Genomic DNA, 27,789 nt, shown 5'->3' on the forward strand with positions numbered 1-27,789 from the left:
TTTTTCTGCACTACTGTTTAATGCTACCGACATTTTTGCCTTAAGAGAACAAGCTTAAAAGGCATGCTCACCCTGCGATTAAGACGCATCTACACAACACAAACGGATGCTGAGCAGAAATGACCCAGAGGCACCATCGTCTTTTCAAGCAGTTTATTTCCATTTTCAGTTCTAATGTTGACTTTTTCATAAATATTCACCTGGAATCTCCACTAAGGCTCCTCATGAGCAGGGCCCAATTCCTAGAATGTGCTTGGTGAGTTAGCCCCTGGTATACAGTAGAGGCTCGGCAAATATTCTACAGCCTCCTTTCTAATGATTTCCCAGTGGCCAGCGTTTCCCAACATGTGAGATGTACAGTTCAAAAGGCCACAGGGAAACTGACACAGCAGGGCCATTTCAAAAGGGGAGGATCTTCCAATTCTTCTGATTTTAGGAAATTCTGTTGCGTGCTAACCTTGAACACATGCTAGCCTCCCTTTCTCAGATTTGGAAAGATCTAAAGTAATAGTTATTTCTCTAAAATGAAACATATATTTCATTTTATATATATATATATATATTACAGATACCTTCTATCTATGGCAATTTATGTTGGATTATTCCACCTATGGCAATCACATCAAGTTTTCTTTCCTTTTTTTTTAAGAGATGGGGTCTTGCTATGTTGTCCAGGTTGGTCTTGAACTCCTGGGCTTAAGCTATCCTCTCACCACGGCCTCCCGAAGTGCTGGGATTATAGGTATGCATCACCGTGCCTGGCCAAATTCTCTTTGTAAATACATTTGAGTGGTAGTAACTAATTTTAAAGGAAAAAAACCTGAAGTAATCTAGAGGTGGAACACAAATGAGGTAAAATATTAGAGAACTGATTCAGCAAGGACTAAAGATTGGGACGCAATGCCCTCTGCACAGTCTGGTTCTTGAGGTTGCGGTGGGTGTGTTTCCAGTGGCGTAGGTCGGTCAGATACTTCTGGCCTTTGGGAGTGCGTGGATGTGACGCGGTCAGTGCCACATGTGAACCAGGTGCTGCGAAGTCCTGTGAAAGTCACACACCATATGGTGCACTACAAAGGTATAGGTTAAAGGCTGAAGCTTGAAACATACAAAAAAAAATCCTCTATAGAGCAAGATATATTCCTAGTATTCAGCTGTTCCCAACCAAATAAAAAAAAAAATTAAGGAAAAAAATAAAAAAGGAAGCATTCCATCAGTGGCTGTATTGAACAAGTAATGTATCATCAAGATATAATCACCCAACCTTTATTATTCCAAGTGCACTACTGTCAAGAGACATGTTACAGCCGCTAAGGACAATGTACTTCAGCTTTGAAACCTGGGCAAGAAGCCACACGACTGCATGAGACAAGCCGTGAGAGGCACTGCTCAGGAGGAAACGCTGGGTCTCTTCACCAAAATTAGATTACAGCATATTCTGGGAGCACACGCCCTTGTACTGCTTACAAACCAAGGGAGAAAGACCAACGCATCCATCATCCCAACGCCTTCCCTGGAACAGGGAAATGAGCATCATTCTGTGGGAACAGCGTCTTTAGACTCTGCATCAGTTTGTTCCACTTCAGCATCCGCGGCAGCTGGGGCAGGAGCAACTCTGGTTTGGGCACTTTCTGCCTCTGCTGCCATTGTCTCGGCGCCATTTCCAGCCTCTGCAGCCTCACTTCTGGCCTTGGGGACGCCCTTCTCATGTGCCGTTCCACAGGGCACCTGCTCTTCCAGCAGCTGTTCGGCTTGAGGATCACTACCGGCCTCCGCTGTGTCCGTGGGGCCTTCGTCCTCAGCCGGCTCCCCGCTGCTCTCTGGAGCGGGCGCTCCTTCCCCATCTACGGCCCTCACTGCTGCTGTAATCACCTCTGCTAAGACGTCCGCGGCCACCTCCTCAGGTGTCTCTTTCTTATCCTCACCTCCTAAATTGTCATCTCCTTCCATTTCTGGATCAACAGTTTCACTGGTGAAAGGGTCCTCACCCTGGCCAAAGAGGAAACACCGGTCAGCGTGGTGTAAGCAGAGCTCAGGAGGCCCATGATTGCGGGGATGTCAGCTTTTCAGAACCAGCAGTCCACAAGGGAAACACTTCTGTAAATTATGCCACAGGAGTGAATCCTACATGTTCTCAGAGCCTACAGATTCAGAAAACACCTCGGGGAGATATTCTGCAATTTTTTTTTTTTTTGAGATGGAGTCTCGCTGTTGCCCAGGCTGGACTGCAGTGGTGCGATCTCGGCTCACTGCAACCTCCGCCTCCTGTGTTTTTAGTAGAGATGGGGTTTCCACCCACCTCAGCCTCCCAAAGCGCTGCGATTACAGGTGTGAACCACCATGCCCGGCCCATTCTGCAATTTTTTTTTTTTTGAGACGGAGTTTTGCTTTGTTGCCCAGGATGGAGTGCAATGGCGCGATCTCAGCTCACCACAACCTCTGCCTCCTGGTTTCAAGTGATTCTCCTGCCTCAGCCTCCTGAGTAGCTGGGATTACAGGCAGGAGCCACCACGCCCGGCTAATTTTGTATTTTTAGTGGAGACGGGGTTTCACCATGTTGGGCAGACTGGTCTGGAACTCCAGACCTCAGGTGATCCGCCTGCCTTGGCCTCCCAAAATGCTGGGATTACAGGCACGAGCCACCGTGCCTGGCCTGCAATTTTTAATCAAGCATGTACCAGCGAGGAAAAGTTCACAAGCCCAGCCTTAACTTGATGTTTTTTAAAAAAGGGCATGAGGCCGGGCGTGATGGCTCACACCTGTAATCCCAGCACTTTGGGAGGCCAAGATGGGTGGATCACGAGGTCAGGAGATGGACACCATCCTGGCTAACACAGTGAAACCCCATCTCTACTAAAAATACAAAAAAAAAAATTAGCCGGGCATGGTGGCGAGCGCCTGTAGTCCCAGCTACTCGGGAGGCTGAGGCAGCAGAATGGCGTGAACCTGGGAGGCGGAGCTTGCAGTAAGTCGAGATCACGCCACTGAACTCCAGCCTGGCAGCCTGGGCGACAGAGTCAGACTCCATCTCAAAAAAATAAAATAAAATAAAATAAAGGGCATGTAATAGGAAGTTAACACTACGTAATATTTTAGTTTCATTAAGGTACAGTGGCTCACGCCTGTAATCCCAGCACTTTGGGAGGCTGGGGCTGGAGGACTGCCGGAGCTCAGGAGTTCGAGACCAGCCTGGGCAACGTGGCGAATCAAGATTCAAATCCAAGTCTGACTCCCTCAGAAGTCAAAATTCTCCTAAGTATATGATAGAAAACTATCTGTAGTCTAAAACAAGCAAACTAAAAGTTATCATTACCAGATTAGGAAACATGTTTTAAAATATGATGCTTAGGGCAAGGTGCTCACGCCTGTAACCCCAGCAATTTGGGAGGTCAAGGCGGGAGGATCACTTGAGGCCAGACCAGCATGGGCAACAGAGCAAGACTGTCTTAAAAAATTAGCCAGCATGTGGCCGGGTGCAGTGGCTCACGTCTGTAATTCCAACACTTTGGGAGGCGGAAGCAGGCAGATCACAAGGTCAGGAGATGGAGACCATCCTGGCTAACACAGTGAAACCCCATCTCTCTTTTCTTTTTTTGAGACGGAGTCTTGGTCTGTCGCCAAGGCTGGAGTGCAATGGCGCGATCTTGGCTCACTGCAACCTGCACCTCCCGGATTCAAGCAATTCACTGCCTCAGCCTCCCAAGTAGCTGGGATTACAGGTGCCCGCCACCACGCCTGGCTAATTTTTTTTTTATTTTTAGTAGAGATGGGGTTTCACCATCTTGGCCAGGCTGGTCTTGAACTCCTGACCTCGTGATGCACCCGCCTCGGCCTCCCAAAGTGCTGGGATTACAGGCGTGAGCCACCACGCCCGGCCACCCCATCCCCCTGCAAAACATTAGCCAGGCATGGTGGTGGGCGCCTGTAGTCCCAGGTACTCAGGAGGCTGAGGCAGGAGAACGGCATGAACCCAGGACACAGAGCTTGCAGTGAGCCGGGATCGCACCACTGCACTCCAGCCTGGGTGACAGAGCAAGACTCCATCTCAAAAAAAAAAAAAAAAAAAAAAAAAAAAAATTAGCCAGGTGTGGTGGTGTACTATTGCAGTCCCAGCTACCTGGCAGGCTGAGTGGGGAGGATCTCTTGAGCTCAGGAATTCGAGGCTGCAGAGAATCTCTGCAGGAATCTCTTGGCTGGGTACCAAGAGAACAAGACCCTGACTCAAAAAAAAAGACGCTTAGAAGCCTGAGCTCACACTTGACTCTGGAAACTTTTACCTTGCTTAAGCTGCAAAGGTAAAATATACATCAGTCATGTTTCCTCCCTCTTTTTTTTTTTTTTTTTTTTTTTGAGACAAGGTCTCACTCTGCCATCCAGGCTGGAGTGCAGTGGCACGATCTTGGCTCACTGCAACCTCCGCCTCCTGAGTAGCTGGGACCACAGGCGCATGCCACCACGCCTGGCTAATTTATGTATTTTTTGTACAGACAGGGTTTCACCATGTTGTCCGGGCTGGTCTTGAACTCCTGAACTCAAAGTGATCCGCCCACCCCAGCCTCCCAAAGTACTGGGATTACAGGTGTGAGCCACCACGCCCGGCCCAGTCATGTTTCTTCAATTGGTTATTTAGATTCTGTGCCTTTAATAGATGGAACTGTCAAATATGGAAGTGTTTAGTAACTGAGAGGAGGGCAAAGGTCCTGAAGTCAGGTTGTGGGCTGGGACTTAGCCACCTGCCCCAAATGCTAAAGTCCTGGGATGAACACTGAGCAAAATGGGTTTCACAAGGAAGAACTGGGAGCTCTTCCAACCAGCCTTCTCTCCATGAGCACCCACTTTGGGACTTCGATATGCTGCTCCCATCATGAAGGCTCTGGTTCTTCACTACCCCTCACCTTCAACCTCACTGTCAGTTGGCTCTATCAATGAAATCTCTTTTTAGCTTCTCTCCTGGAAAATTCTCATGTACCTTGGATTCTTTTTTTTTTTTTGAAATGGGGTCTCACTCTGTCACCTGGGCTGGAGTGTAGTGGCGCAATCGTTAACTCCTCTAACTCCTGAGCTCAGGGATCCTCCTGCCTCAGCCTCCCAAACTATTGGCATTACAGGCATGAGCCATAATTCCCGGTTCCCCGCTTTCCTTTATTTTCAAGACCAGTCTTGCTATGTTACCCAGGCTGAAGTGCAGTGGTAACACCATCACTCACTGTAGCCTCAAATTCCTGGGCTCAAGCAATCCTCCCATCCCAGCTTCCCGAGTAGGGCTAGCCTTGGGTTTTTCTTAAAAAATCACCTAACCATCATTTGCTCAGAATTTTAAGGCTAAACAATCAGGATTTTTCATGGTAAAAATCCATTACGCACTGATTAATCAAGCAGCGCCACATCCCCAGAGTCCCCAGGCAAGCACTGACTCATTAGAAATCCCAGTTGTCATGTTCCTGAGCTTGATGCATTCCAGTGTCCCTCAACTGTCAAAAGACTCAGAAATGCTAAATGCTGCACTCTGGATTCAACTCCCTGCTCCTGGGGTTCATCTTCCCTTTTGAAAGCTTTTCCTGTCTGTGGTACTTGCAAGCACAAACCTTGAGGTATTTTTCCAGCATCTTCACTATATGTCTGTTGTTCAAAACACTCTTAGCCACATGGAGACTGGTTTTCTTGAACTGTTCAGCAGCCAACTGCAAAGGGAACCAAATGTGAGCTCTTAAAAATGGCAAAGATTAAGGAAGAGAATAAACCAGCCAGGCTCTGCCGAGTCATCCTGAGATCAGCCCTATGCAGAGAAGCGAATCTCAAAACGCCAGCCTCCAAGAATAGAAGGCTCCAGAGACTGTGCAACCAAGACTAACAAACTGGAAAAGCTAGGCAATCTTAAGAGATAAATGCAAAGATGCACCACTGATACCCATGTAGCACATGCAGAATTGGGGGTGAAACAAGAGCATTTACAAATGAAAGGCTGTGTGGACTCAGTGGAGGAAAAGGACAAGCTCTTTCTTTTCAGTTTTTGGGGTTACATTGATTTCATAAGTTCAACAACAAAAGTATGAATATGCTGGGTGTGGCAGCTCATGCCTGTAATCCTAGCACGTTGGGAGGCTGAGGCATGTGGATCACTTGAGGCCAGGAGTTCGAGACAAGCCTGGCCATCATGGTGAAACCCTGTCTACAAAATATAAAAATTAGCTGGGTGTGGTGGTGCACACCCGTAATCCCAGCTACTCAGGAGACTGAGGCATGAGAATTTGGGAGATGGAGGTTGCAATCAGCTGAGATTGTACCACTGCATTCCAGCCTGGGCAATGGAGTGAGACTCTGTCTCAAAAAATAAAATTAAAAACAAAAACAAAAACAAAAAACAAACACACAACCATGACTGCACCAAGTCTCTGTTTTAGAGCCTGACTTGTTTGCACAATGGTCCCTTGTTTGTATACTGCTTTTCAGCTGATCTTTAACAGTACTGGGGCTGGGTGCAGTGGCTCACACCTGTAATCCCAGCACTCTGGGAGGCTGAGGCGGGTGGATCACCTGAGGTCAGGAGTTCAAGACCAGCCTGGCCAACATGGTGAAACCCCGTCTCTATTAAAAATACAAAAAATTAGCCGGGCATTGTGGTGGGCGCCTGTAATCCCAGCTACTTAGGAGGCTGAGGCTGGAGAATTGCTTGAACCTGGGAGGCAGAAGTTGCAGTGAACTGAGATCGTGCCACTGCACTCCAGCCTGGGCAACAAGAGTGAAACTCCGTAAAAAAAAAACAAAAAAACAAAAACGTAAACCAAAAAACCAAAACCAAAACCAAAACCAAAACACAGTACTGTGAGATGGGTGAGCAGCTCTTGACCTCCCCATTTAATAGCTGAGTAAACTAAGGAGAGAGCTGCTAACCCAGGGCCAGAAAGTGACAGGCTGCAGAGCAAACGCAGCCACAGGCACTCTTCACTGTCTGCTTTTCTGCACTGACAGCAGGTAGAGCTGTTGCTGGATAGGGCCTCTATGGTCTGCAATGCTAAAAATACTCATGATCTGACTCTTTACAAAATAAGGTATTTTTCCAGCATCTTCAACACTTGACCCCTGGGCTCAACATTTAGCCTGAAGCCCCAGCAGCTAGGTAAGGACAGAACCAGTCCTTTAGTCCAAGTCCCCTGGGCCACTCAGCTTTCAATGGCCCTTCGGTCTCAGCTTATGGAAGCCCCCAGGCCTTCCGCTAGTGGGAAAACTGACCAACGTGGAAACACTATCAGGAGAATCTCAGCTACTGCATTTAATCGAGTCTAAGCAACACATTTTCTCACATTTTTATAAAAATTGAGACGAATCTTACGACCCATCGATGGAAGTGATAGACTTGAAACATAGCAAGAACCCCTAAAGATGTTGTTATTCCCCATAAGACACAGCAGGCTCTGAGCCGCAGCCCTGCAATGAGCACCCCAGGCAGTGTGGGGAGGAAGACTCACCCTGCGGTTGTGATTGTGGTCCACGGAGTGCAGGTGCCGCTGGAGGAGCTGCGGCTGTGCAGGAATTAGCATGTCGCAGGCCAGGCAGTGAGCAGCCTCGATCTTCTTGAAGAAGTGCTCCTGGCCAATCCCTGCCAGGAAACGCATGTCTTGTAGGATCTGGGACAGCAAGTGATGCTTTCCTCCTACTCCCCATCTGGGCCCACGTTTTCTCCCTGCAACTCTAAGGAATCAGAAGGGCACAGCCTGCCTTTCTATGGGGAGTATGGGTCAGCACATCGGCCTCTATAGCTGTGAATTCTGCACTTTTCAGCTTTTCTGTTCCTCCTGGTTGTTTCTTTTCAAACCAAGGAGGAAAAGATATGAAAGTGCTTAATGTCACTGATATAAGCTGCAATCTATGCAAGGCCACATCCGAAGGTTTCTTTCCATTGCTGCTGAGCGCTCTTCCCACGGGTCTCGTCATCACCTTCTCAGCCAACTTGGGCTGGCTTCATGCCACTTTTTTTTTTTTTTTTTTTGAGACAGAGTCTTGCTCTGTCGCCTAGGCTGGAGTGCAGTGGTGCAATCTTGGCTCACTGCAAGCTCTGACTCCCAGGTTGACACCATTCTCCTGCCTCAGCCTCCCAAGTAGCTGGGACTACAGGTGCCCGCCACCACGCCCGGCTAATTTTTTGTATTTTTTTAGTAGAGACGGGGTTTCACCGTGTCAGACAGGATGGCCTTGATCTCCTGACCTCATGATCCGCCTGCCTCAGCCTCCCAAAGTGCTGGGATTACAGGTGTGAGCCACCGTGCCCGGCCTCGTGCCACGTTTTACGGGTCCTGTCACATGCCTTACTACCATCCAGGAAAGCACTCATCCTGGGATGACAACTCACCTTTGAAAGGATCTGGTTTTGGTTTTGCGGTTTCTTTCTCCATCAATTCCTGACGCCGCTTCTCAATTTTCTTATTTCTGTTTACAATGTATTCCTAGGTGGGATTGGAGAGGGCATAAAGTAAAATGAGAGGTGGGCGCATGTGGGCATTTCTCAACTGCCAGGGCTAGGCAGGCAGCTATCAGAGCAGCTGCGTGGGGCAGCACAGCACGATGGCTGGAGCTCCCGGTTGTCCCTGTGACTCAGGGACTTACACAGCTACTCTATCTGGGAAAGGAAACCTTGGCCAAGTATAGCCTCTGATTTCCCTTCCTCCTTCAAGGGATCCGGCACCTGCGGGATGGGCAAGAGACGCGGTGACGGGGCCCAGGTTTCCTTTACCTGGAGGAACTCCACGGTCTTGTCGGGCAGCTTGGTGCTTATGAACCGCAGGGTCTCTTTGTGAAATTTGCTTTGCAGATGCTTCTGGATCTCTTCGTCATCAAAGCTACGGAACTTGCATACAGAACAGGCAAACTGAATTCTGTAGAAGGAAAACAAGGAGGGGAGTGAAGCAGGGAGCATCAGCGAGTGAAGCAGGGGGCATCAGCTCACCTCTGAGGAGAGCTGAAATAGAAACAGGATTTTCAGCTCTCCCCCTCCCCCTCTCCCTCTCCCCACGGTCTCCCTCTGATGCCGAGCCGAAGCTGGACGGTACTGCTGCCATCTCGGCTCACTGCAACCTCCCTGCCTGATTCTCCTGCCTCAGCCTGCCTACTGCCTGCGATTGCAGGCGCGCGCCGCCACGCCTGACTGGTTTTCGTATTTTTTTGGTGGAGACGGGGTTTCGCTGTGTTGGCCGGGCTGGTCTCCAGCTCCTAACCGCGAGTGATCCGCCAGCCTCGGCCTCCCGAGGTGCCGGGATTGCAGACGGAGTCTCGTTCACTCAGTGCTCAATGGTGCCCAGGCTGGAGTGCAGTGGCGTGATCTCGGCTCGCTACAACCTCCACCTCCCAGCCGCCTGCCTTGGCCTCCCAAAGTGCCGAGATTGCAGCCTCTGCCCGGCCGCCACCCCGTCTGGGAAGTGAGGAGCGTCTCCGCCTGGCCGCCCATCGTCTGGGATGTGAGGAGCCCCTCTGCCTGGCTGCCCAGTCTGGAAAGTGAGGAGCGTCTCTGCCCGGCCGCCATCCCATCTAGGAAGTGAGGAGCGCCTCTTCCCGGCCGCCATCACATCTGGGAAGTGAGGAGCGTCTCTGCCCAGCCGCCCATTGTCTGAGATGTGGGGAGCACCTCTGCCCTGCCGCCCCGTCCGGGATGTGAGGAGCGTCTCTGCCTGGCCGCCCTGTCTGAGAAGTGAGGAGACCCTCTGCCTGGCAACCGCCCCGTCTGAGAAGTGAGGAGCCCCTCCGCCCGGCAGCCGCCCCGTCTGAGAAGTAAGGAGCCCCTCCGCCCAGCAGCCACCCCGTCTGGGAAGTGAGGAGCGTCTCCGCCCGGCAGCCACCTTGTCCGGGAGGGAGGTGGGGGGATCAGCCCCCCGCCCGGCCAGCCGCCCCGTCTGGGAGGTGAGGGGCGCCTCTGCCCAGCCGCCCCTACTGGGAAGTGAGGAGACCCTCTGCCCGGCCAGCCGCTCCGTCCGGGAGGGAGGTGGGGGGGGGTCAGCCCCCCGCCCGGCCAGCCGCCCCGTCCGGGAAGTGAGGGGCGCCTCTGCCCGGCCGCCCCTACTGGGAAGTGAGGAGCCCCCCTGCCCGGCCAGCCGCCCCGTCCGGGAGGGAGGTGGGGGGGGTCAGCCCCCCGCCCGGCCAGCCGCACCGTCCGGGAGGGAGGTGGGGGGGTCAGCCCCCTCGCCCAGCCAGCCGCCCCGTCCAGGAGGTGAGGGGCGCCTCTGCCCGGCCGCCCCTACTGGGAAGTGAGGAGCCCCTCTGCCCAGCCACCACCCTGTCTGGGAGGTGTACCCAACAGCTCATTGAGAACGGGCCATGATGACAATGGCGGTTTTGTGGAATAGAAAGGCGGGAAAGGTGGGGAAAAGATTGAGAAATCGGATGGTTGCTGTGTCTGTGTAGAAAGAGGTAGACGTGGGAGACTTTTCATTTTGTTCTATACTAAGAAAAATTCTTCTGCCTTGGGATCCTGTTGATCTGTGACCTTACCCCCAACCCTGTGCTCTCTGAAACATGTGCTGTGTCCACTCAGGGTTAAATGGATTAAGGGCGGTGCAAGATGTGCTTTGTTAAACAGATGCTTGAAGGCAGCATGCCAAGAGTCGTCACCACTCCCTAATCTCAAGTACCCAGGGACACAAACACTGCCAAATCTCCCTCTGCGAGAAACACCCAAGAATGATCAATAAAAATAAATAAATAAATAAATAAATAAATAAATAAATAAATTGGCAGTGGGCAAAAAAAAAAAAAAAAAGAAACAGGATTTTCAGTAATTTTTTTTCTTTCCTTTTTTTTTTTTTTTTTTTGGAGATGGAGTTTTGCTCTTGTTGCCGAGGCTGGAGTGCAATGGTGCGATCTCAGCTAACCGCAACCTCTAACACCCAGGTTCAAGCGATTCTCCTGCCTCAGCCTCCCGAGTAGCTGGGATTACAGGGGCCCGCCACCAAGCCTGGCTAAATTTTTGTATTTTTATTTTATTTTATTTATTTATTTTTTTGAGACGGAGTCTCCCTCTGTTGCCCAGGCTGGAGTGCAGTGGTGCGATCTTGGCTCACTGCAACCTCCGCCTCCCAGGTTCAAGTGATTCTCCTGCGTCAGCCTCCCGAGTAGCTGGGATTACAGGCGCCCACCACCACTCCCAGTTAATTTTTGTATTGTGAGTAGAGACGTGGTTTCACCATGGTGGCTAGGTTGGTCTCGAACTCCTGACCTCGTGATTGACCCACCTCAGCCTCCCAAAGTGCTGGGATTAAAGGCGTGAGCCACCGCGCCCAGCCTATTTTTTTTTTGTATTTTTAGTAGAGACAGGGTTTCACCATGTTGGCTAGGCTGGTCTCGAACTCCTGACCTCAGGTGATCCACCTGCCTTAGCCTCCCCAAAGTGCTGGGATTACAGGCGTGAGCCACCGCACCCAGACTTTTCTTTTTCTCGAGATGAGATTTCACTGTATTGCTCAGGCTGTTCTCAAACTCCTGGGCTCAAGCGATCCTCCCACCTCAGCCTCCCAAGTAGCTGGGATTAGAGGTGCATGCCACCGCACTCAGCCAGGGAAAGTGGCTGCTGAACCAAGAGTTCCGACTTCCCAAAGGGCAACAGAATGGCAGTTACCCAAACTTCCCCAGCTGAAGAATGGGAACACAGGCTTGCAGGTATCTCAGGAAAATGACTCGCATAGTAATCTGCTGGCACTGCAGCCCCTCTGGCCCCAAAGCCCCTGAGAAAACACCAGAAAGCTGCAACTGCTTGGAACTGGGGACGCCCTAGGCTCTGGCTGGCAGCTCTTGGGGCCCAGCATCTAGCTTCACAGCTTCTCAGATGAGTTCCTCTCTGCAGGAACTGGGATGACATAAGGCAACCTCATTTTACGTGCAGACAAAACACCTCGCACAATTCAAAACACAAAACCCAGTATCAGTTCTGCCATGAGACTACACGTAAAGACATGTCACATCAAATTCTACAGATAAAAAGTGAGGCTTCTTTGTCACAGGCTTTCAAAGTCTCCCCAAATGCAACCACGCTGCATGGCAAGGGAGAGCAGCCTGCAGGCCCCCAGGCCACCACACTGGGGTGCTCCCTCCCTGGCTCTCTCCTGGAGGCTCCTGCCCCTTCTGGTGTAGGGGTGCAGGCCCTGTGGCACTCAGGACTTCACCTCTGCCAACTCCACATGCCTGGCTTCTGACCTCTGACAAGCAACATGAAGACACCTCCGCTTCTGCAGACAGCCCCTACGTAGGCGGGGAGGGGACAATCTCCCGGGGCTCATACACAGCACTGTCAGGAAGCTACTGATGAGCTGTGTGCTTCCCTGCTACACCTCTGCCTCCCCGTGAGAATTCCTCCAAGTCCCTTCGAGATCCTCAGTCATGGCCAGGCGCGGTGGTTCATGCCTGTACTCCCAGCACTTTGGGAGACCAAGGTGCGTGGATCACCTGAGGTCAGGAGTTTGAGACCAGTCTGGCCAACATGGTGAAACCCCGTCACTACTAAAAGTACAAAAATTAGCTGGGTGTGGTGGCGGGCGCCTGTAATTCCAGCTACTTGGGAGGCGGAGGTAGGAGGATCACTTGAGCCCAGGAGGTGGACTGTTGCAGTGAGCTGAGATCGTGCCACTGCACTCTAGGATGGGTGACACAGCAAGACTCCATCTCAAAGGATAAAAAAAAAAAAAAAGAAAAAGATCCTCAGTCACTAGCGCACACTCTGAAGGTTTCTTTTTTTTTTTTTAAAAAAAGTCACCTGTTCATTGGAAGAACATACAAGATGAAAAAAAAGCAAAAAGAAAAAAAAAAAAAGCAAAAAGTAGTAAAAAAAAAATGTCATCTCTATACCCTTCTCCCAGTACTCTGGGAGGCCAACGCAGGAAGATCTCTTGAGGCTAGTTCAACAGCCCAAGCAACAGAGAAAGACCCCTATCTCTTTATTAGATTATTTAAGTTTAAAAATAATTAAAAAGAAAATGTCATCTCAGTTTCCATGTGACATGAAAAGTCATCTACTCTATCCATTTATCTGTTTAAAATAACAAGGGTTTCAATGTTCCTGTACCACTTAAGAAGAAACAGTTCTGCGTTTGGTTCCTGGCTTCGTTTTGCTAAGCATTTCTCTCTTTTTTTTTTGAATCCTTGATTTAAGGTTCACATGGAACAGTGATTTTCTTTTTTTTTTTTTGTTCCTGAGATGGAGTCTTGCTCCGTCGCCCACGCTGGAGTGCAGTAGCACAATCTCGGCTCACTGAGATGGAGTTTTTATTTGAGATAGAGTTTCGCTCTTGTTGCCCAGGCTGGAATGCAGTGGTGTGATCTTGGCTCACTGCAACCTCCACCTCCTGGGTTCAAGCAATTCTCCTGCCTCAGCCTCCCGAGCAGCGGGGAATACAGGCATGCGCCACCATGCCGGACGAATTTTGTATTTTTAGTAGAGACTGGGTTTCTCCATGTTGGTCAGGCTGGTCTCGAACTCCCAACCTCAGGTGATCCGCCTGCCTTGGCCTCCCAAAGTGGTGGGATTACAGGCGTGAGCCACTGCCCCCAGCCCGTTTCTTTTTCTTTTTGAGACAGAGTCTTGCTCTGTCGCCCAGGCTGGAGTGCAGTGGTGCAACCTTGGCTCACTACAAAGTCCACCTCCCCAGTTTAAGTGATTCTCCTGCCTCAGCCTCCCGAGTAGCTGAGATTACAGGCACCTGCCACCATGCCTGGCTAATTTTTGTAATTTTAGTAGAGATGGGTTTCACCATATTGACCAGGCTGGTCTTGAACTCCCGGCCTCAAGCGATCCGCCAGCTCAGCCTTCCAAAGTGCTGGAATTACATGTGTGAGCCACGGCATCTGGCCCCTTTTACTAAGCATTTCTTTGAACACGACAATCACTGCCCAGACTGGGCGCAGTGGCTCACGCTTGTAATACCAGCACTTTGGGAGGCCAAGGCGGGCAGATCACAAGATCAGGAGTTTAAGACCAGCCTTGCCAACACGGTGAATCCCGACCTCTACTAAAAATACAAAAATTAGCCAGGCGTGGTGTCAGGCGCCTGTAATCCCAGCTACTCGGGAGGCTGAGGCAGGAGAACCGCTTGAACCTAGGAGGCAGAGGTTATAGTGAGCCGAGATTATGCTATTGCACTCCAGCCTGGGCGACAGAGCAAGACTCCATCTCAGAAACAAACAAACAAAAAGAAAATCACTGTCCCATGTGAACCTTAAGGTCAAGGATTCCCCAGCATCACATGATCACTGGTGATTTCAGTTTCTAGTCAGAAGCCACTTAACTCCTGGCAGGGAGAGGCAGGCACATGGTGTGCTCACAATGACATCCTTTGGGCTCAACATTTTTGCAATCCTTTTCTATTGTGGGACAAAATCTTGATGGTAGGATCATCTCTCTACCTGTCTCCTAGCTGTGTCAAACTCCAGGGGTGGTCTGGATTTGGATAAGGTGAACACAGGACAGTGTCTGAGATGCCAGACACCAGGCTAGGGGGCAGGGATGCCCCTCAGGCCTGCAGGAGAGTAACAGAGCCCGCTGCTGAGCAGTTATGGACCACACAGACCCACCAGCAAGGCTGGGATTCCAGAGGAATAGAGACACAGGAGTCAAACACCAATCCTCTAAAGCAAGAACAGAAACCTAACCACCAAAGCAACGTCCCAGCCATCCTAGAAGACAGGTAGCTCGTGTGCTGGGAGCACGAGTGATGGTCTTTTCTGCACTCCCAATTGTTTACTGTTTTGCCTCCCACTGGTTTGGCCAGAGGAGTCAGGCCACCAGGCCCCCAGCATTGTGGAGCGAGGACAGGTGAGCTCGGCAGCGCCTCCACCGCACGAGTCCACCTCCTCCTGTGGGGTCGTGTGCCCGCGCCTCACCTGTCGGCTGCACGGTCCCGCGTCCTGTCTCTTCTCCTTTGCTTTTCCCTTCTCTTCTTCACATCCTCGTCCTCGTCCTCCTTCTCTCCTGTAACAGACAAGTCCCTTCGAGACGCTCTGAGTGGCCTGCAAAGGAGCTGAGCTCCAGGGCCTGGTCGGGGGGCTGCAGCTTGGCCACCGCACCCTGTGCCCTGCCACTGCCTGCACCACGCGGCAGGGTCCAGGATGCCCCAAGGCACTGTCAGAGACTCCTGGTGGACACGGGCCTGGAGTGAGAGCCCGGAGTAGTCACCAAACTCCCCACATGGCCTGAGGCGGCCAGGATGGGCTAGGGACACAGCCTGCCCACCCCATGTGCACCACAGCCCCCTGCTCCCTCTGTCCTCCCCATTCTGCTTGTCCAATCTCATGCCCTGCGATGGGGTCTTCTCCCAATATCACAGGAGAAGCCAATTCTCCCCGGATGAAGAGGCGGCAGCTGAAGGCCTCAGGAAGTGAAGCAGCTGCTCCGCCGCCCTCTATCCCACCTCTAGGTGGACTGTGACGAGCGTCCTGGCGGCCCCGTCTGAACTAGGGCCTCAGCAGGTCTGACAGTCCTTGCTGGCCCGACCTCTATCTTCCACTCACAAAAACCGTCAATCTAGGGCTTTCCCAGGGCTGCGTGGGAAGCAATCCTAGAAAAAAATTTGGGAAGAGACCAATTGGTCCTCCCGTCCGTCCCCCGGGGCCAGCAGAGGAGCTCCTCGGAGAGCCACGCGGCCATCATCCCAGCATGAGGCCAGGGACGGACGCTGAAAAAAGGTTGGAGAAGCATCTGAACTGTAACCCCTACCCCTGATGCCAGTCCCGAGACTGTCCCACGAAGATGGCGACCGGCGTGCGCTGCTCAGAAGCCTCTCAAAAGGGCGTGTGGGATTTTTGGCAAGAGGTCACTGCCTGAAACTATGACTGCTGTTTAATAGCAAAGTCATCCCGGGTAGGTAGCAGGACCTGCGCGCAACAGACATGTCACCTTTGCTTTAGCATTGTGCCGCTAAGCGCTCGGGGCGCCCCGTGCTATGGACAGGACTGCTGCGGGTCGCGGGGGGGAGGACCGCAGAGGGCTGGCAAAGCCTGAACAGGAGGAACATCTAAGCCAAGGGCCTTCAGAATGGATGGGAGCAGGGCCACTGAGGAGCCAGCCTATGATCCTTGGGGTAACCAGCTACGGAAAGACCCACAGGACAGGTAAAGAAACGAGTGGCTTCAGGGTGAGCTCCAGGCCGCGGCACCTCAGGCCGCTCTGCCATGAGGGATTTAAGCCTGCTCTGCTGTTGCTGCAGACCCTCTGGTCTCCTGCATTGGACATGAAGAGACCTGCTGAAGGGCGCCCGCCTCTCAAAGACCCAGTGGGCCTGGGTGCTCCCGACCCCGCAGGTGTCTGCTGTCACACACTCGCAGGCACGAAGCAATGTGCAGTGCAGCTGCCAGTATCCCCACCACAGAGGCCCACAGCACAGCCCAGGGCAGGCGACTGAAGGAACTGGACAAAAGGAAGCCCCAGAGAAAACACTTCAGGGAAATGCACTGGCCGAGGAGGGCACAGAAGATGGGCTGGGGGCCTCTTCTCTCATGTTTCTCCTTCCCTACAAACTTCGACTGTGGTGGACACCCAAGGCTGCCCCCCATCCCCACTGCAGCCCACATCGGGTCAGGCAGACAGACCCGTTTCCAGTAAATGCTGCCCCAGACACTTTGAAGCAAAGTGTTGGCTGATCGCCACGGTCAAGGCCCATCTGGTGGCTGCAGCCCCTCTTCCCCCACAGCCACGGGCCCCTCCATCCAGGCCCCTGGCTTGCTCAGAAGCTGGGCAGTAAGTGCGGGGCAGCTGGGAAGACACAGGAAAGCTGCAAGGGACACGGTGATGCCTACCTCTTTGCCTCCCAGAGTCGCAGAGTTCATCCTCCTGGAAAAGAGTATACACAAAGTCCGGCAGTGAGCTGGTGTGTCCAGACTCTCCACAACCAGCCCAGTCCCTGGCCACTGCCTGGTGGGCAGTCTCACCCAAGACCTAGGTTGCTATGCCACCAAGAATGAGCCACAGTGTGTTAGGACCAGCCTCCGGGGCTCAGGACAGGGCCTGTGTGTCCTGTTATTACTCCTAGTTGCCTTCAGAGATTCTGTGACAATCACCTTGCTAAAAAGCCATTCACCCACCCTCTCTCGGTTCCTCCTAAGCTGCAGAACTGCCTGCCCCATGACAAAGACCCACCCGTACAATTCTATGAATGGAGCCTGTTCACCAACCGTAGGGAGATAGAGTCTCACTTGGGGGATGCCAGTTCTGGCATTCTTCATAGAAAATGGGTTCCACCACGTTTCCCGAGCTTTTGTTTATATTTACCCAATGTCTTTTTTTTTTTTTTTTTTTTTTTTGAGACGGAGTCTCGCCCTGTCTCCCAGGCTGGAGTGCAATGATGCAATCTCAGCTCACTGCAACCTCTGCTTCCTGGGTTGAAGCAAATCCTCTGCCTCAGCCTCCCGAGTAGCTGGGACTATAGGCGCATGCCGCCACATCCAGCTAATTTTTGTATTTTCAGTAGAGACGGGGTTTCACCATATTGGCCAGGATGGTCTCAATCTTGTGACCTCGTGATCCACCCGCCTTGGCCTCCCAAAGTGCTGGGATTACAGGTGTGAGCCACCGCGCCAGGCCTATATTTACCCGATGTCTTAATAACAATCACGTATAGATAAAAACGATTCAACTGAGAATCTGAACAGAGCTGACTCCTTAGGCAGTGAACATACGGCTAAATTAACAATCAGCAGGTTTACAGAGATTCCTAATCTCAAGACCAGCAAAATAGGGATCAAGTGAGACTCTGAAAACCTGAAAAGCCACCATCTCCTGCCTGTTCCCTGCCTGTGTGACTCTAAGGACTTGGGGAAGGCCCTCCTTCCCACTCTGGACCTCCAGGCCCTACACCTCCAACTTGGATCAGAATCTACACTGGGGTGGCTGAGGCACCTCCCCAAGAGCTTGGGGTGGTCCCGGCTATGAACTGGCCCCACGTGCTGCCTGCCTGTGCCTTGTTGTGAGGATGGAAGGATGAGGACACCAGTCAGCGGCACCCGGCACGGAGCTGGCGGCAAATGAGCCTCCAGCCTGTGCTTGGAGGCTTCAGCCCACAGTCCCTGCACTTACTGGCCTAGAGACCAGGGAGAGGAACTGGGAGCTTTTTTCAGAAAAGGAATGTTTGTTGTAAGTTGAAAACTTTTTTTTTTTTTTTGAGACGGAGTCTCCCTCTGTCGCCCAGGCTGGGGTGCAGTGATGCAACGTCAGCTCACTGCAACCTCCACCTCCCAGGTTCAAGTGATCCTCCTCCCTCAGCCTCCCAAGTAGCTGCTACTACAGGCAAGTGCCACCACTCCTGGCTAATTTTTGTATTTTTAATCGAGACGGGGTTTCACCATGTTGGCCAGGCTGGTCTCCAACTCTCGACCTCAAGTGATCCACCCACCTGAGCCTCCCTAAGTGCTAGGATTACAGGTGTGAGCCACCGTGCCGGCTAAGGTGGAAAACTTTTAGAAATCTAGCTAAAAGTCAGGGTCCTGAATCCACTCAGAGGTAGTCAAATCTACCATGGCAGCTGCTCCTGCCCCTTTGTGAGGAAGGGTGATTAAAGAAAGAAGAAATCCCACACTAGAGGCAAAAGGGCTGCCTGGTGGACTTACACCCTTGAATTCTTCATCTCCTGAGCGGAAGTCACCAGCTGCGTCATCTGCCAGACACAAAGAAAGGAAAAGTCAGTCCCCGGAGAACGGTCCCATCCGGTTTCCGCCCTCCCAAGCTCGCCATCCAGGGTGAGTCTGCCCTGACCACAGTGGGGTTGAAACATGCCACCTGCGAGTGTCCACGACACAGATGGGGCAAGCAGAGCCCCCAGCAGGCAGCCGACCCATCCTACATCTGTCTGGCCCACCTGGCCCCCAGGACATACCATTTTCGGAGAAATCTCCTTCACTGTCAACCCGGGCCAGTTTGGTGTCTGGCTCCTCGTAAAGTTGGAACTGCTTCCGTTTCCTGCCCGTGCCATCTGGTCCGAAGCGGTCAAACCCTCTCCTCTTGGGCTACAGACAACAAGCACACCCCATGAGCTACTTACGAGGGCCATGAAGATGCCCCACAGAAAAGAACAAGGAGGTTGTAGGATCAGACAACACAGGCACAAAAGGTCTTTTCAAAAAGCAAAGAGACAACATAATTTGAAACTAAAAAGAAAATCATGCTGAGTGAAAAGAAGCCAGGAACAAAAGGCCACACGTTTCGCGACTCCATTTGTGCAAAATGTCTAGAACACACAAATCCAGAGACCAGTGGTGGTTGTCGGGGGCTGGTGGGGGCGGGGAAGAGACAGGGGTGACTAATGAGAAGAAGTTTCTCTTCTGGTTGACATAAATGCTAAGATTAGACTGTGATGGTGGGGATGGTTGCACAATCCTGTAAATTAACTAAAAGTCGAACTGCGCACTTAAAAACATTTAAGTGAATGTTGAGATGGGGAAATTTTACCTCAATAAAGCTGCTAAAAAGAGAAGCGAAGGCGGCCGGAAGGAACCTTGCGAGGGCTTACCCGATCCCGATCCCGCATCCGAGGCTGCGAGCGGCCACATCCGTAGGGCATGGTGCTGTCATAGCCGCCCGCCCCCTGCATGCCCATCACGCCGTAGTCGGGAGCCATGGACTGGGAGAAGAGGGACGGAGGTGGCCGGCTGGGGGAGGGCCCTCCCAGGCCCCGTCCACCCACGTAGTTCAGCTCGTTCCAGGGCGTGGACAGGGGCTCAGAGGACGCAGCGGGGGGCACGAAGGGGTCGCTGCGCATGAAGGTGCCAGGGTTGCTCCGGTCCTGGAAGCGGCCCTGGCCCCGGCCCCGCATGAAGCCATCAAGGGAGCCCCGCTCCCGGGCTGGGTCTCGGCATTCACTGTACTGCCCCCCAAAGCTGCCATTGCGGTCGGACCCCAGGTCGAACTCATAGTCGTAGCTGTAGCTGGGGCGGTAGGGGTTGTGCTCCGGCAGGCAGGGCCTGGAGTCATAGGACTCGAACGGCTGGAAGCGGAAGGAGCTGCAACAGAAGCACAGCCCATCAGGGGCGGTCACCCCGATCACCCACTGCCACACTCCCTCAGTATAACCTCGACGCCCCTACATTCAAAACAGCAAACCAAACCACCCTGCATCCCACCTAAGTGCTGGGATGACCAAAACTGACCAACACCCTCCCTGGAACACTGCTGAGCAGGGGACAGAGCCCCTGGCCACAGGAATAGCATGATGTAGAAAAAAGGAGTCTCGGGGAGCTTAGCCAACAACCACGCCCAAGCCCCGCCATGAAGAAAAGCAAGGAAGTCCTACTGTAACATCACTGACCCCCCACGAGCCCAACTCGTCAATGCCACACCCAAGAGGGAGGCGGGGACAGGCCCTCCCTCAAGAGTGGGTGCCCACTCCCATGCGCACAAAGGTGGGGATGTGTGGGGTCCCGGGGGAGGGCTTGGGTCCATAATCACCTCTCCCGGTCCTGTATGCCCTCCCCACCGCCGCCGCTCCCGCCCCTGCCTCCTTCCTTGGACATCATGTCCAAACGCTGGTTGATCTTGGCAATGAGGGAGTCGGAATTGTCGGTGCATGGCTCTGGGCCGTAAGAGGCCATGTGCATGGCAGGGGCCCCGGCCGCCAGGCCGCCATCATTGGCCTTGGCGGCCTCCCACGAGGCTGGGCCGTAGCTGTAGGTTGCGCCTGTGGTGACACTGGTGTTCTGGGCGCCATAGTAATTGTAGTTTTCATAACCTGTCACAGGGGGAGGAGCCAAGTCAGACTTCAGCAGCCACGAGGCCTGTCCATGGTGGACACAACCGGGGAGGGGCACCCGCTGCCACGGAGAAGGAAAACGGGTGTGGGACCCAGTGCTGCTGGCATCACTTCACACTGCACTGTGACCTGCCAAGAGGCAGCAGGAGGTGGCCAGAGAAAGGGGCAGCCTCAGTGCCGAGCGGCGGGTTTTCCATGCCAGACGCTAGGACCTGTTCCCCATTCAAAGCCGGGTGACTGAGAGCCTGGGAACAGCAGTTCCGGCTGCTGACAGGCCCCACAAAGGACCGCTGCTCCCAAAGCACGGTCGCAGTCCTCCCCATCATGCTCCCCTGAGGCCGCCCACCACAGCCCTCTGCAGTCCCCCCATATACACAACAGCAGCCGTGGCTGACTGCGTCCTCAGGAACAGAGCCAGAAAGTCCACGCCAGACCTCCCTGACGGGCTGACCCGCCTGGCCTTCAGATCAGAGGCCCACTTGCCCGCCCACAGACCCCCCCCACAGAAGGGCTTACCTTGCCAGCTGGCCACACCAGTTCCATATGCACCTTAGGGGAAACAGAAACACACAAGAGCCCTGTTTGCAGAACGAAGGCACTGACACCCCAGCTGTCACCTTGCTCCACCCTCCACAGCCCCAGGGCCAGGGCTTCCCTCCGCAGCGCTCAGGGAGACACCCTTGGGTGTTTTTAGCTCACTCAACTCCTACAGAGCACTAGGCTGAGAGGCTGAGCACAAGCAAGCCCTCTATCCCGGGCAAGGCCAACCGTCCGTCAGGGCAAGGGAAGGGACGCCGCACGCTCCCCAGGAAGCTCGTCCACTGTGGGCTGCTGGCCAAGAGGTTGGCCAGGCCAGGCCCCAGGCAGAGACCTCGTAAAGGGTCAGTTCCCATCAGAAGCCAGAGTGCAGGCGCTGCCAACTGCACAGCGAAGCATTGGTGCAAAGTCACGTCCTCAACTCAAGCGAAAAAGAGGACGTTATGTGCCACGAGCGACTTGGAAGGCCTCCTCCTGAAACACCGGGTGGTGGCTCAAAAGCAGCCCCACTCCCCATGTTGCCTGAGTCAGATCTCAGGCTCAGAAAACAAAGGAAGCCCTCGTGCCCTAAAACACGGGCTGGCAGAAAGGAGAAAGCCTCGCCAGCAGAGAGCATGCACTGGTTCGCCACACAAGCCTAGCATCATGGCCCTGACTCTAAAGCAGGGATCTGCAAAAAGTCCAGCCACACCCAGCCCACTTCCCGCCTTGGCACAGCCCTTAGGATTTTCGAATTTCGGTGCCCATAAATAAGTACCAGCACACTGCCCGTAGCCCTGTGCTCTCAGGCTCTGCCCTCAGCTAAGGATGAATTTTACGTTTTTAAATGGTTGGGGTAAAGTTTCTAAAGTGTATTCAATGACAAATTTTGACATGAGATACATCACTTACACACTGGATCAAAACTCAGAGAACTATACAAATTAACAAAAACTATGAGCTATAGTGAATAATATCACATCAACATTGCCTGATTAATTGTAACAAATGCATCACACCAATGCAAGATTTTTTTTTTGTTTTTTTTTTTTGAGATGGAGTCTCGCTCTGTTGCATGGGCTGAAGTGCAGTGGCGCGATCTCGGCTCACTGCAAGCTCCACCTCCTGGGTTCACGCCATTCTCCTGTCTCAGCCTCCGGAGTAGCTGGGACTACAGGCGCCCGCCACCGCGCCCGGCTAATTTTTTTTGTATTTTTAGTAGAGACGGGGTTTCACTGTGTTAGCCAGGATGGTCTCGATCTCCTGACCTCGTGATCTGCCCGCCTCGGCCTCCCAAAATGCTGGGATTACAGGCGTGAGCCACCGTGCCTGGCCTTTTTTTTTTTGAGACAGGGTCGTGCTCTGTCACCCAGGCTGGAGTACAGTGGCATAATCACAGCTCACTGCAGCCTTACCTCCTGGGCTCAAGCAATCTTCCTATCTCAGCCTTCTGAGTGGCCGGGACTACAGGCACGCACTGCCACGCCCCACTAATTTTTCATTAGTTGGATAAAAGGATCACTTGAGCTCGGGTCTCGAACTCCCAGGCTCAAGTGAGCCTCTTGCCTCAGCCTCCCAAAGTGCTGGGATTGCAGGCGTGTGCTGCCTCGCCCAGCTAATGAAAGATCTTACTAATGAGGCCAGGCGTGGTGGCTCACGCCTGTAATCCCAGCACTTTGATTATGGGATTGATTATGAGGTCAGGAGTTCGAGACCAGCTTGGCCAACATGGTAAAACCCTGTCTCTACTAAAAATACAAAAATTAGCTGGGCGCAGTGGTGGGTGCCTGTAATCCCAGCTACTCGGGAGGCTGCGGCTGCAGTAAGCCGAGATCACACCACTGCACTCCAGCCTGGGCAACAGAGCAAGACTCTGTATCAAAAGAAAAAAAAATCATACTAATGAGATTTTTAGTACACTCACTACAGGTGTAGTGTACACTCAGTACACCTGAGTGGAGGTGGGTGGGCGTATGAAACTCCACTACTCAATCTAAAGCTGTACTAAAAAGTCTGGTAATTATAGAGAAAAAACACCTCGGATATACCCTCAGCTATTTACTCAGAATAACAAAAATATTTTGCCAAAATAGAGTATTCACTAACACGCAAAAATTAGGAACTTCAAATTGTATTGTCTGTAAGTAACTACTGGCATTGTCCCATCCACTCTTTCACACATTTATGACTGCTTTCCTGCTACAGAGACTGTGGAGCCCATAAAGCCACAAAGATATTCACTATCTGATCTTTTACACAAAGTTTGCTGACCCCTGGGCTACTACTCTCCCTTGACCCAAGTTCAGCTCTGCCATGCTAGGGCCTTGAGTTAGGGGAAGCCCACGCCTCACCCGCAAAGCAGAGCCCACTTACCCTGGGTGTTGGCAGGTCCAGCACTCCACGCCCCGTAGCCTGCAAGAAGACCCCGTGAGTTAAAATTCTATTTGTCACACCAGAGAACGGGTCCTTTTGGGGGTACTCCTAAAGGGATCTCCTTACAGTTCAGTGCCAGCCTTAGAAGAAGGAAGACTCCCCCCCACCCCACCAAAAAAAAGCCATCACACAACTGGCTAATGGCGTCATCGCATTCCACCTGGCTGAGATCAAAGCAGAAAAAGAAGGGTGGGAAGTGGGCTTGGAAGTCAGCTCCGCCCTGCAGAGGGACCTTGGCCAAGGACCTCACCTCTCCAAGATTTCATCCACAACTGAGGCTAACACAAGACAATCCACTCAGCATGAGGACACGTTCCCCCACCCACCACACAGCTAGGAAACCAGTTCAGAGTGCCATCACAAGTACTTCGTAACTGAAAACAAGCATGGGAATTTAGTGACATAAATTGCATCTTTCTAAGCTGCACTTCCTGCCACTTTTTGTTTTTTTGAGGCGGGGTCTTGCTCTGTTGCCCAGGTTAGAGCGCAGTGCCGCGATCTCGGCTCACTGCAAGCTCCGCCTCCTGGGTTCACGCCATTCTCCTGCCTCAGCCTCCCGAGTAGCTGGGACTACAGGCGCCTGCCACCACGCCCGCCTAATTTTTTGTGTTTTTAGTAGAGACGGGGTTTCACCATGTTAGCCAGGATGGTCTCGATCTCCTGACCTCGTGATCCGCCAGCCTCGGCCTCCCAAAGTGCTGGGATTACAGGCGTGAGTCACCGCGCCAGGCCCTTCCTGCCACTTTTAAGGCCTCCACGGATCCCCTGGACCTTTAAGTCCCAGAGCCTTCGCCTGGCCCTAAGGCATCAGACAGCACTCTTCACCCCTCCACACCCCCCGCCCACTATGGCATCTGTCTGGTCCCTCCAGGAAGGAGAATGGGAACTGTGTTCTCTTTATTTCTGTGTCCCTGGGGCCCAGCACTGAGCTGCGCGCGGGTGGCCACCATGCCTGTTAAATGACTTCACTTTGATGAGGCAGGAACATATCCATGTCTCCCTCACCAGAACAACTCCCCCGCCCCCGGCTAAGTGCCTAGTGCGTGCCGATACACCGCAAGCACCCAGCAAACCCTGTTGTCCGGAATGCCATTCAGAGACAAGGGAGCTAGGCTCATGGGTTACGAGACTTGACCCAGTCATACTGCTGAGTTTTGCCCTCTGCTATGCTACGCCTTCCCCTCCGTCATACCGCAAAACCTTCTAAATTCGCATCCGTGCAGCAGAAAGGCAGACTGCAGATTCCAACAGCAAGTAACCAACCTCGAGAGACTGCTTCTCTGTGAAGCTCTAGTGTAAGTGGCACGCACTATTAACCTTAAAACGCTCCCGGAAACACAAGAAATCAGGGAAGCTTAACTATCTCCAGTGTGTCTGAAAGGTTTTCGGCAGGTAGGAAGAGGGGGTAAAAAAAACCTCTCCAAACTAAGAATGAAAAGAAGGAATACAATACCTGCAGAAAAGATCTGATGGGAAAGAAGGGAAAGAATGGTGAAATCTACCCAGGCTGCGGAAGACCAGGAGAGCCAGGCTGAGCCTTCGCTAGGACCCGGAAGACACCAAAGCACACCGCGCACGCTGCCGCCTCAGGACCGAAACCTCTCTCTGCAATTTCTGGTGCTGGGATACTTTTGCCCTGCCACTTCTCAAGATCGACAACTTCTCGAGCTCCTGCAGCCAGGATCAGACCACTAGCTTCTCTACAACCAGTCGAGCTCCACCCAGCATGTCCCAACTATCCCCTGTGGGCAAACTTTGCTCCCAAAAGGCTCTGATTCCAGAAGCAGGGAGCAGGCAGCTCGAGAAGATCGGCCCTACTGCAGGCCAAGCGCTAAATCCTAGTGGGGAAAGGACACGTTCCCTCCTGCACAGCCCCTCGGCCCCTCCAGGCCACCACAACAGACTGCCTAAAGGAGAACTGCCAATGTCACCAGCCCCAGGGCACATCAGGTTTCCAGCTTTATACGAACACTCAGCATCTGCCCCTCACCATCCTGTCCCAAGCCAGCACGCGCCGGGTACAGAGCTGGAGCCCGGCGAGGCTGACTCTCGCGCCGGCAGCACTCGGCCCCACCGCGCTGCACCGGGGACTAAAGGCCCGACCCCGCGCAGCCCGACGGCTTCCGGGACAGGCGCCCTGGGCCACGTGAGCCCAGCGGAGACCCTACACGGCCCCGCGGGCCTAGGGCAGGTCGGGAGAGAGGCGGCCCCCGCGGTCCGCCCGCGGCCCCAGACCCAGCTCCCCGGGTCCGACCTCACAACCCCACGCTGTAGCTCCGCCCCCCTAGCGCCGCCATTTTGTGGCGTCTTCGGAAGAGGAAGCCGGGAGTGCAAACCCCGGGGTCGCTGGGGGCCGGAAGGACTCCGCCGAAGGTGAGGGGCAAAAACGGCCCACACTGTCTAAGACGCCCCCACGAAGCCCACCGCGGCGTCTGCCCCAACCCCGAGTCCCGCCCGCCTCCTCGGGGCCTGGCGGCCAATCCGCACGCAGAGCCCCGGGAGCGACGGCGCCAAAGCCCAATGAGCGGCGCGCGCGCGCCCTGGCCGCCTCTCCGGAGGGCCCAGCTGGGGCAACCACGCTCGGGACGAAGGCCCGGCCGGCGGCAGTCTGCGCAGCGGCTGCGTCGCCCGCACAGAGCCTTCCCTCCCCGCTCCGCACCCAGCAGCCAACACAAACCTCCGTAGCCCTGGTCCATGTCTTCGACGCGGCCCACCAGCAGCCCCGTTTACTAGGCGACCACAGCACGCATGCGTTCAGCGCACCTCCGCCATCGACTACTGGAAGACCAGGCGCACACGTCACTACTTCCGCGCGCCCCCATTGGCTGGTCTTCACGAGGGCCCGCCCTCGCCGTCCCAGCTGGCCTTTCGGGCTGCTACGATCCAGCTCCGTGGCCTAATGGGAGTTGTGGTCCCACCGCGGTGCCCGACGGCCCGGCCCGCGCGCATGCGCACCCCGCCCCTCTGCCCACCCCGCCCCGCCCGCGCGGCACAGTAACAGAGAAACCCGGAGGTGGGATGGGAAAACTTTATTAGGTTTGGTTTCCAGCTTCGGCCACGCGGGCTCCGCCCGCCCCGAGCTCGGGTCACGGGGCGCCCCCGCCGCCCTCCTCGTCGTCCTCCACGTCGAGGCCCGGGATGCCGCGGATCTGGCGTTGCAGCGCCCCTCCCAGCAAGGGCACGGCGCCCTCCTCCTCCTCCTCTGGGGGCGGCGGCGGTGGCGGCGACACGGCCCCGGGGGCTGGCTCTGGGGGCACGGGAGGCTGCGCCGGCACGCCCTCTGCGCCCTCCGAGATCCCTGCCGCTTCGCCCTGCGCCCCCTCGTCCAGGGCACCGCCCTCAGCCTCCTCCTGCTCCTTCTCCTCCTCGGGGCTGTCGGTGAAAGGGTTCTCGCCCTGTGGGGAGGGGCGCGGACACTGAAGGGAGGGAGCACAGGCGGGGACTAAGCTGGGGACAGGGCAGGCCCGGACCAGTGCCTCACCTTCAGGTAGCGCTCCAGCTTCTTGCTGATGAGCTTGTTGTTGAGAATACTGCGGGCCACCATGAGGGAGGACTTCTTGGACTGCTCCATCATGAGCTGCGGGCAGGGCAGAAGGAGCTGGAGAGGCTGCTCTGAGTGCCCTACAAGTTGCTGCCCCGACCCTGCCAGCTTAGAGGGACCCCACCCCGCCCCTGCACCCACGCACTTCCAGCCCCACCAACGGAGGGCCACTCCACAAGCATGGAACCACAACCTATCTGATCTTTGTTCAAATTCCCTCTCCTTCCACACCACACTTACTGTAGGTAAATAAAAATACAGATCTATATATCTCTAACTTTACGGCTGTATTACAGAAATCTGATTTGCTTACAAAAAAGCTATAAGCAGTGAACAATTAAGAAACTAAGAGCCAAAGGTGGGTGCAACCTGTAACAAGGTGCCAACTAGGCTAATAGGCAAGGAGCACTTTGGGGCCAACGGGGAAGATATAAAAACAGGAACAGATATTTAATGAAACGTCTTTTTTAACCCACAGAATTCCAAGAATGAAGAATTATTCCCAGTCATGCAAGGGTGAAGAGAGTCTTCTCTGCTGGTGGGAGGATCAACTGTTTCCGTATTTTTTGGAAAGCAGTTTGACACAATGTATGAAAA

At 53.6% G+C, this 27,789-nt stretch overlaps 2 protein-coding genes and 1 long non-coding RNA gene across 5 annotated transcripts in view, besides 7 other annotated features; 1 reads left to right on the top strand and 2 right to left on the bottom strand.

Annotated features, from left to right (window-relative positions):
• LOC124904643 (uncharacterized) overlaps positions 1-8,750 on the top strand; it is a 29,522-nt gene extending 20,772 nt beyond the window's left edge. Inside the window, exon 4 of the long non-coding RNA XR_007067146.1 lies at positions 8,667-8,750. This is a non-coding gene — a long non-coding RNA (uncharacterized LOC124904643). The remainder of the gene's footprint in view (positions 1-8,666) is intronic.
• Positions 1-26,403, bottom strand: AKAP8 (A-kinase anchoring protein 8). Its single transcript, NM_005858.4, has 14 exons — positions 26,329-26,403; positions 23,592-23,630; positions 21,219-21,251; positions 20,402-20,681; positions 19,467-19,956; positions 18,834-18,963; positions 18,568-18,614; positions 16,762-16,795; positions 14,851-14,938; positions 8,726-8,867; positions 8,345-8,438; positions 7,464-7,594; positions 5,583-5,678; positions 1-1,986 (listed from the first exon to the last, which is right to left on the bottom strand). Exons 1-14 carry the CDS (start codon positions 26,345-26,347, stop codon positions 1,531-1,533), a joined length of 2,079 nt encoding a protein of 692 aa, NP_005849.1. The 5' UTR covers positions 26,348-26,403; the 3' UTR covers positions 1-1,530.
• Positions 6,674-6,813: an enhancer, noted in NCBI's record as "active region_14184". NCBI's record gives its function as "activates an Ori minimal core promoter by ATAC-STARR-seq in GM12878 lymphoblastoid cells {active_cell/tissue: GM12878}" and the evidence as "EXISTENCE:reporter gene assay evidence [ECO:0000049][PMID:35858748]".
• Positions 25,544-26,459: an enhancer, noted in NCBI's record as "H3K27ac hESC enhancer chr19:15489739-15490654 (GRCh37/hg19 assembly coordinates)". NCBI's record gives its function as "activates a minimal SCP1, AML or CMV promoter by ChIP-STARR-seq in primed H9 embryonic stem cells {active_cell/tissue: H9 hESC(primed)}" and the evidence as "EXISTENCE:reporter gene assay evidence [ECO:0000049][PMID:30033119]".
• Positions 25,544-27,374: a biological region, named in NCBI's record as "H3K27ac hESC enhancers GRCh37_chr19:15489739-15490654 and GRCh37_chr19:15490655-15491569".
• Positions 25,649-26,198: a silencer, noted in NCBI's record as "silent region_10277". NCBI's record gives its function as "represses an Ori minimal core promoter by ATAC-STARR-seq in GM12878 lymphoblastoid cells {active_cell/tissue: GM12878}" and the evidence as "EXISTENCE:reporter gene assay evidence [ECO:0000049][PMID:35858748]".
• Positions 26,394-26,688: an enhancer, noted in NCBI's record as "tiled region #9920; HepG2 Activating DNase matched - State 1:Tss, and K562 Activating DNase unmatched - State 1:Tss". NCBI's record gives its function as "activates a minimal TATA promoter and a strong SV40 promoter by Sharpr-MPRA in HepG2 and K562 cells {active_cell/tissue: HepG2 | K562}" and the evidence as "EXISTENCE:reporter gene assay evidence [ECO:0000049][PMID:27701403]".
• Positions 26,460-27,374: an enhancer, noted in NCBI's record as "H3K27ac hESC enhancer chr19:15490655-15491569 (GRCh37/hg19 assembly coordinates)". NCBI's record gives its function as "activates a minimal SCP1, AML or CMV promoter by ChIP-STARR-seq in naive H9 embryonic stem cells {active_cell/tissue: H9 hESC(naive)}" and the evidence as "EXISTENCE:reporter gene assay evidence [ECO:0000049][PMID:30033119]".
• Positions 26,539-27,028: a silencer, noted in NCBI's record as "silent region_10278". NCBI's record gives its function as "represses an Ori minimal core promoter by ATAC-STARR-seq in GM12878 lymphoblastoid cells {active_cell/tissue: GM12878}" and the evidence as "EXISTENCE:reporter gene assay evidence [ECO:0000049][PMID:35858748]".
• Positions 26,666-27,789, bottom strand: part of AKAP8L (A-kinase anchoring protein 8 like) — a 38,939-nt gene continuing 37,815 nt past the window's right edge. For all 3 annotated transcript variants that reach the window (NR_111971.2, NM_001291478.2, NM_014371.4), the window contains 2 exons: positions 27,133-27,228; positions 26,666-27,046 (listed from right to left, as the gene is read on the bottom strand). Coding sequence is in view for 2 of the 3 variants with exons in the window: in NM_001291478.2 (NP_001278407.1) it covers positions 26,738-27,046; positions 27,133-27,228 (405 nt within the window). In the remaining variant the exon portion in view is untranslated. The remainder of the gene's footprint in view (positions 27,047-27,132; positions 27,229-27,789) is intronic.

Source organism: Homo sapiens, chromosome 19 (assembly GCF_000001405.40).
Source record: "Homo sapiens chromosome 19, GRCh38.p14 Primary Assembly".
Classification (NCBI taxonomy): Eukaryota; Metazoa; Chordata; class Mammalia; order Primates; family Hominidae; genus Homo; species Homo sapiens.

Coding starts and splice junctions, on each gene's coding strand:
- AKAP8 (NM_005858.4), bottom strand. Junction 18,615..18,833: donor AGGAGATTTCTCCGAAAATG/GTATGTCCTGGG, acceptor TGTGTCTGGCAG/ATGACGCAGCTGGTGACTTC. Junction 1,987..5,582: donor TGCTGGAAAAATACCTCAAG/GTTTGTGCTTGC, acceptor CTCTTTGGCCAG/GGTGAGGACCCTTTCACCAG.